This window comes from Homo sapiens, chromosome 10 (genome assembly GCF_000001405.40).
Source record: "Homo sapiens chromosome 10, GRCh38.p14 Primary Assembly".
NCBI classification, from domain to species: Eukaryota; Metazoa; Chordata; class Mammalia; order Primates; family Hominidae; genus Homo; species Homo sapiens.
Genome location: NC_000010.11, coordinates 18928932 through 18937833, shown reverse-complemented (window position 1 = coordinate 18937833; position 8902 = coordinate 18928932). Strand labels below are relative to the sequence as shown.

The 8902-nt window shown below is 35.6% G+C and overlaps 1 long non-coding RNA gene across 1 annotated transcript; it reads right to left on the bottom strand.

Moving 5' to 3' along the window:
- Positions 1-7132: 7132 nt before the first annotated feature.
- Positions 7133-8696, bottom strand: LOC107984180 (uncharacterized). The gene is made up of 3 exons (XR_001747279.2): positions 8659-8696; positions 7599-7656; positions 7133-7391 (listed from the first exon to the last, which is right to left on the bottom strand). It is a non-coding gene; the product is annotated as an uncharacterized LOC107984180 (long non-coding RNA).
- Between the last annotated feature and the right edge of the window lie 206 nt (positions 8697-8902).

The following is an 8902-nucleotide window of genomic DNA, read 5'->3' as shown; positions in this document are numbered from 1 at the left end:
ATTCTTAAAGAAAAGAATTTTCAACCCAGAATTTCATATACAGCCAAACTAAGCTTCACAAGTGAAGGAGAAATAAAATCCTTTACAGAAAAGCAAATGTTGAGGGATTTCATCACCACCAGCCCTCCCTTACAAGAGCTCCTAAAGGAAGCACTAAATATGGATAAGAAAAACTGGTACCAGCCACTGCAAAAACAAACCAAAATGTAAAGACCATCGACATTATGAAGAAACTGCATCAACTAATGGGCAAAATAACCAGCTAGCATCATGATGACAGGATCAAATTCACACATAACAATATTAACCTTAAATGTAAAAGGCACAGACTGGCCAATTGGATAAAGAGTAAAGACCCATCGATGTGCTGTATTCAGGAGACTTGTTTCACATGCAAAGACACAGGCTAAAAATAAAGGGATAAAGAAAGATTTACTAAGCAAATGGAAAGCAAAAAAAAAAAAAAAAAAAAGCAGGGGTTGCAATCCTACTCTCTGATAAAACAGACTTTAAACTTTAAACCCACAAAGATCAAAAAAGACAAAGAAGGTCATCACATAATGGTAAAGGGATCAATGCAACAAGAAGAGCTAACTATCCTAAATATATATGCACCAAATACAGGAGCACCCAGATTCATAAAGCAAGTTTTGAGAGACATACAAAGAGATTTAGACTCCCACACAATAATAGTGGGAGACTTTAACACCCCACTGTCAATATTAGATAAAGCAATAAGACAGAAAATTAACAAGAATATTCAGGACTTGAACTCAGCTCTGCACCAAGCAGACCTAATAGACATCTATAGAACACTCCATCCCAAATCAACGGAATATACATTCTTCTCAGTACCACATAGCACTTATTCTAAAATCGACCACATAATTGCAAGTAAAACACTCCTCAGCACAAGCAAAAGAAAAGAAATCATAACAAACAGTTTCTCAGACCACAGTGCAATCAAATTAGACTTCAGGATTAACAAACTCACTCAAAACCGCACAACTACATGGAAACTGAACAACCTGCTCCTGAATGACTACTGGGTAAATAACAAAATGAAGGCAGAAATGAATAAGTTCTTTAAAACCAATGAGAACAAAGACACAACGTACCAGAATCTCTGGGACACAGCTAAAGCAGTGTTTAGAGGGAAATTTATAGCACTAAATGCCCAGGGAAAGATCTAAAATCGACGCCCTAACATTACTATTAAAAGCACTAGAGAAACAAGAGCAAACAAATTCAAAACCTAGCAGAAGATAAGAAATAACTAAGATCAGAGCAGAACTGAAGGAGACAGGGACACGAAAAACACTTCGAAAAATCAGTAAATCCAGGAGCTAGTTTTTTTTAAAAGGTTAACAAAATAGATAGACCGCTAGCCAGACTATAAAGAAGAAAAGATAGAAGAATCAAATAGATACAATAAAAAATGATAAAGGGGTATTACCACTGATCCCACAAAAATACAAATGACCATCAGAGAATACTATAAACACCCCTACACAATTAAACTAGAAAATCTAGAAGAAATTTATAAATTCATGGACACATACACCCTCCCAAGACTAAACCAGGAAGAAGTCAAATCCCTGAATAGACCAATAATAAGTTCTGAAATTGAGGCAGTAATTAATAGCCTACCAACCAAAAAAGCCCAGGACCAGATGGATTCACAGCCGAATTCTACCAGAGATATAAACAGGAGCTGGTACCATTCCTTCTGAAACTATTCCAAACAATAGAAAGAGAGGGAATCCTCCATAATTCATTTTATGAGGCCAGCATCATTCTGATACCAAAACCTAGCAGAGACACAACAACAAAAAAAGAAAATTTCAGGCCAATATCTCTGAAGAATATTGATGCGAAAATCCTCAATAAAATACTGCTAAACCAAATCCAGCACTTAATCAAAACGCTTGTCCACCACGACCAAGTCGGCTTCATCCCTGGGATGCAAGGCTGGCTCATCATATGCAAATCAATAAACATAATCCATCACATAAACAGAACCAATGACAAAAACCACATGATTATCTCAATAGATGCAGAAAAGGGCTTCAATAAAATTCAACACCCCTTCATGCTAAAAAACACTCAATAAGGTAGGTATGGATGCAACATATCTCAAAATAATAAGAGCTATTTATGACAAACCCATGGCCAATATCATACTGAATGGGCAAAAGCTGGAAGCATTCCCTTTGAAAACTGGCAAAAGACAAGGATGCCCTCTCTCACCACTCCTATTCAACATAGTATTGGAAGTTGTGGCCAGGGCAATCATGCAAGAGAAAGAAATAAAGCGTATTCAAATAGAAAGAGAGAAAGTCAAATTATCTCTATTTGCAGATGACAAGATTGTGTATCTAGAAAACCCCATCATTTCAGCCAAAAATTCCTTAATCTGATAAGCAACTTCAACAAAGTCTCAGGATACAAAATCAATGTGCAAAAATCACAAGCATTCCTATACACCAGTAATAGACAAACAGAGAGCCAAATCATGAGCAAACTCCCATTCACAATTGCTACAAAGAGAATAAAATACTTAGGAATCCAACTTACAAGGGATATGAAGGACCTCTTCAAGGAGAACTACAAACCACTCCTCAAGGAAACAAGAGAGGACACAAACAGATGGGAAAACATTCCATGCTCATGGACAGGAAGAATCAGTATCGTGAAAATGGCCATACTGCCCAAAGTAATTTATAGGTTCAATGCTATTCCCATCAAGCTACCATTGACTTTCTTTTAAATTTCATATGAAACCAAAAAAGAGCTTGTATAGACAAGACAATCCTAAGCAAAAAGAACAAAGCTGGAGGCATCATGCTGCCTGACTTCAAACTATGCTACAAGGCTACAGTAACCAAAACAGCATGCTACTGGTACCAAAACAGATATATAGACCAATGGAACAGCACAGAGGCCTCAGAAATCACACCACACATCTACAACCATCTATTCTTTGACAAACTTGACAAACACAAGCAATGGAGAAAGGATTCCCTATTTAATAAATGGTGTTGGGAAAACCAGCTAGCCATAGGCAGAAAACTGAAATTGGACCCCTTCCTTACACCTTATACAAAAATTAAGTCAAGATGGATTAAAGACTTAAATGTAAGACCTAAAACCATAAAAACCCTGGAAGAAAACCTAGGCAATACCATTCAGGACATAGGCATGGGCAAAGACTTCATAACTAAAACACCAAAAGTAATTGCAACAAAATCCAAAATTGACAAATAAGATTTAATTAAACTAAAGACCTTCTGCACAGCAAAAGGAACCATCATCAGAGTGAATAGGCACCCTACAGAATGGGAGATAATTTTTGCAATCTATCCATCTGACAAAGGACTAATATCCAGAATCTACAAGGAACTTAAATTTACAGGAAAAAAGCAACCCCATCAAAAAGTGGGCAAAGGATATGAACAAACAGTTTCCAAAGGAAGACATTTATCTGGCCAACAAACACATGAAAAAATGCTCATCATCACTGGCCATCAGAGAAATGCAAATCAAAACCATAATGAGATGCCATCTCACGCCAGTTACAAGGGTGATCATTAAAAAGACAGGAAATAACAGATGCTGGAGCGGATGTGAAGAAATAGGAACGCCTTTACACTGTTTATGGGAGTGTAAATTAGTTCAACCATTGTGGAAGACAGTGTGGGGATTCCTCCAGGATCTACAACTAGAAATACCATTTGACCCAGCAATCCCATTACTGGGTATAGACCCAAAGGATTATAAATCATTCTATTATAAAGACACATGCACACGTATGTTTATTGCAACACTATTCACAATAGCAAAGACTTGGAACCAACCCAAATGACCATCAATGTTAGACTGGTTAAATAAAATGCGGCACATATACACCATGGAATACTCTGCAGCCATAAAAAAGAATGAATTCATGTCTTTTGGAGGGACACAGATGAAGCTGGAAACCATCATTCTCAGCAAACTAACACAGGAAACAGTAAACCAAACAACCACATGTTCTCATTCATAAGTGGAAGTTGAACAATGATAACACATGGACACAGGGAGGGGAACGTCACACACCAGGGCCTGTCAGGGGGTGGAGGGCAAGGGGAGGGATAGCACTAGGAGAAATACCTAATGTAGATGACAAGTTGATGGGTGCAGCAAACCACCATGGCACATGTATACCTATATAACAAACTTGCACGTTCTGCACAGGTATCCTAGAACTTAAAGTATAATAATAAAAAAACAAGATGCAAAACAAAACAAAAACTAAAATATATTTTAATAAATGTGATGCTTAAAAAAATTAACTGGTGATGACTTTTTAGATAGAATAACAAAAACATGGTTCATGAAAAAAATTGATGTTGAAATTTATTAAAATTAAAAATAATCTACTTTTTATTAATTTTACTAATTCATGAAAATTTGAAACTCTTTGATCACTCCAAATATAATTTTAATGCCACATTGCTCATACAAATGTAAATGCATAGTTTATAGAAATAAATGTGTATAAAGAAATAAATGTGATCGGGAGCAAATGACAAAAGAGATTAAACTTTCAAAAAAATCTAAAATTACAAAGTGCCTGGATATTTTTATTCCAGAAGCTGTCCAAATGCCTGTCATTGAACATCTTGGTCACATTTTCAATTCAGTATCTCCAATTATAACAATCACCGGAGTAAAGTTTGTAAAAAAATTTCTATTAAAATTTCCTATTTTCACTAGCATATGACTCCTTTCAACAATCTCTGTTAATTTTTACACTTTAGCTTCTCTGGTTATAGCTGAATGAGAAATTTGAGAACTGTGGTGAAAATACTTTTAGCTATGATTAGTTTTACTTAATAGATCTACTATAAAATTAGCAGACTGAAAATGAGATTTTTATTTTATTTTCCCACTTTTTTTCAAATTTCCTGATATCAGTAATACAATAAAGTATTGAAAGTTTGAGGAAGAAAATAAATAGGGAAGATTATGAAAATGTATTAGGTATGGACAGGGGTGCTATTAATTTTTAAAGATGGCAATATATATCATATGACTTTCCAACTGGAATCAATAATGTCAGAAAAATCCATCCCATTTGTTCATTGTACAGTGAATGCTTGCTACTCACACAGCACTATGCCAAGCGTCAGTCATTTATGTGAAAACACTGGTAAAAAGCTACCATAGCCTTTAAATAGGACATATTATGTCCTGATGCAGTCATTGAAATGTAAAGCAACTTTCAAAGTTGTAATCATCCCACCTTCTCAGATGAAAACACCAATGCCTACAGAGACCAAGTGACTTGCTCAAGACATATTCAGCTACTTAACAGATGTGAACATTAACCTCAGGACATCGAGAATGAGGTTTCCTGTTGATTTCAAATAATTTACCCTCTCCCACCCAACTCCCATCTTGAGATCACTGGGTTTTAACTTTTATTCATTTGCATCAGACGTGTTTGAAAGGAAGAAATTAAAAGAACTAGTTAGGGTTTCAACCAAATACACAAGACATAGAAACAGCAAAATCCATTGTATGACAGTCATTTTAAAACAGACTTACCACAGGAAATCAAAAAACTGGGTTCAGTTATATAGAAGCACTTCCGCTTTATATTTAAGGAAACCTGGGCTCAAGGCAGAAGACTCAGGAGGAGGAAATATTGGGGAAAATTGCAACACTGAAAAAAAGGAGCAGGTCCCATGTCTGCTAACCTCTAGCAGGCGTGGAGGGGTGGGGGGAAATCTGTGGATTTTCCTCGTTGTAAAAAAAACAATAGGAAATATCTATCTTTGTCAGTATTAAACTATCTTTTTATGTTTTTCTTCAGAGTTCACTACAGCATATAGATTGATTAGTCAATAACAAGGGACCTTTATAAATACATGAATGTTTTCCCATTGCATAAATGTGCCTTCATAAATGTCACCAATCTTGCTGGTTTCAGCATTCTTCCCTTGCCTTATCAGTGCCAAGGTTCTGATAATTTTGCACAATCAGTTTCCAGAGGACAGTCTGTCTCCTTTATCAGTATGTGAATCAAGCCCAGCCTCATCATTCAATTTTTTATCTCTGGGACTGAACCTTTCAGATAAATCAGGTAAAAATAAACGCAGAAGTCTTGGGTGTCATTAGGCCCTTGTTCCTAGTTCCTAGGACAGCCCTAACACTCATTTCTACCTCTGAGTCTTTTCTTTAGCTTGCCTTTTCTGAAGCTACCTACCTGCTACCCAGCCTAATAGGCTGATCCGCCAAGTAAAGACATGATTCCTAATTATATCCACCCCACGCTACCCAAGTACACAACATTTTACAATTTAATAGAATTTCTTACCCTCACAATGAAATTATTTATCTTATTTTGCTTTTCTGAGTGTCTAGTATGGCAGCAGACAATTAAGTAATCTTATTTGATGGGTCTGATCTCAAAGTCATTCTTTTCTGCAGCCATTTTGTTTCCCGTGTGCATGTCCAGATAAATGGTGACCTTATTTTATTAAACAGGAAGAATCAAATTTTGCCCTTCTTTCTAATAAATATACATTTTTAAATCTTTATGTCAACATGTTGTTAAATAAAGAAATTGCCATTCTACTTCTCTTCAGAACTATTTGAAGCTCTCCTGCTGTTTTTTTATTGCTAGAAAGTGTAAGTTGGACAAATCTAGCCCTCGTATTTTTTCCTCTTTACTTCACTACTTACTCTATTTCTCATTTAGGTAAAAGTGTGGGCTAGCCATCAAGGTAGCTCAAGTGGTCTGTGTGTATGCATATGTGTATGTATACTAATTGAGAAGGAAATAAGTAAAATATAAATTCTGTATTATCCTTAAGTTATCCTTTTTACTGGTGTACATTCCATGCAGATACAGAATAACCTACAAAGACATTTAGAGTATAGGTATTGAATGATTTATTTTGAACTGATGTTTTGGAGGAAAAAAAACCCTTTATAGGCCTAGACCTAGCTATACATTTTATTATGCTATTTATGTCTTGATTATGAATAGAATTTGCTAATTTGTTAGAAGTAGTCTGTGAAAGTATCTTTGGTTGCTACCTCTAATAATTCCAATAACTCTGAAAATATCTTTAAAAGCATATTAGAAACAGTAGAAAATTCCAACTTTTAATATCACAGTAAATTGTAGCCATTTCAATTAATATTATTACAGTCAGTTGAGCAGAACGAAATTATAAGTTTCACAATGCCCTTGCCCCCATTTGACAAACAAAAAAGTAAGACACATAGCAGCCTATTACTTAGAAGGATACTGAAGCTTGAAGCACACGTATTAAATTTGGGCAGTCTTGGTGAAAATGAGAACTGGTTTCCTCATTATACAATCTGACATCCTTCATCTAAAACCAAATGAGATAATAAAGCAAGAGAAACGAGATATATTTTCTGCATAAAGAACCATATAATCCTTTACCTCATTTAAATAATAGATTCATAATTTTATTCCCACTAAACTCTTCTGTGAAACATTAACATGCTTACTAAGACCACATGCTCAAAAACATACTTGATATTTCTGTATAAATGTTATGTGCATAAGTACTCACGTGTTTAGATTTCTGTCTAGTGATTTTTGTGGAGTTTTTCACATCCATTTACTCTAAACTGTAAGAATATAAGGAAAGAGTTTTCTAAAAATAGGGTGACAAGCAACTTTTAATATAAAACTGAGAGTGACGCTGAACTAATAATATTTAGTGTACATGTGAAAATGATGTGTACCATTCTTAGAATATCCAGTTTAGAAATAAGATTTTTAATTCCTGGAGATAGAGCTAATTTAAAGAATCAGCTCAAATTTGTCCTGATTGTATTTAAAATAAAAATCACTTATTTTGCTTTACTCTTATGTTTAACATCTTTTCCAAATTCTGAAGCAAATTGAGTGGTAGACACAACTGTTTACATTTTCATTGAACAAGTGGCAACGAAATCTCTGAAACTTAGACAATGATTATACGTCCACGTTCCAATATGTAATACAAAAAGCAAATATAAATTTCACATAACCTAGAATATTATGCCTAGTACAACATTATCCTTTCCTGTATGCATAAGCAGACACATCCCAACCCCACCAGTCCCAACAAATGGTACCTAAAGTCTGTAAAAGCAGATAAAAGCTCTAAAAATGAATCTGCTTTCCGAGATTATTGAGTGAAAAGACTGCTACATTTTTTATTCCCTAGCTTTTTTCTCTCTTGGAAATCTTTTCTGAAGTCACAAACTATCGATTCCATAATTCAGTTCCATAAAGAACACTGAATAAATATAGGTACCTTCCTTTTAGGAATTCAGAATCTAGTGGGGCCATCATAATATTATATCAATGGACCCTCATGGAAGTGTTTTTATTAACAACATTTTATACTCAATAACTCATTAGAGTTCATTGTTATTGTCCTATGAACAAATATCTATCTCCAAATCCAAAATAAAGAGTAAAGTGGGGCTGGGCACAGTGGCTCATGCCTGTAATATCAGTACTTTGGGAGGTCAAGGAGGGCAGATCATTTGAGGTCAGGAGTTCAAGACCAGCCAGGCCAACATGGTGAAACCCCGTCTCTACTAAAAATACAAAAATTAGCTGGGCATGGTGGCACTCACCTGTAGTCCCAGCTACACGGGAGTCTGAGGCAGAAGAATTGCTTGAACCTGGGAGGTGGAGGTTGCAGTGAGCTAAGATCGTGCCATTGCACTCCAGCCTGGGTGACAGAGCAAGACCCTGTCTCAAAAAAAAAAAAAAGAAAGAAAGAAAGAAAGAAAAAAAGAGTGAAGTGGTTCCAAAACAGCCTTGGAGTTCCCAGTAACTTAGCTGTGAGAGCAGGGGATTTTGAGCCCAAGCAGAGGG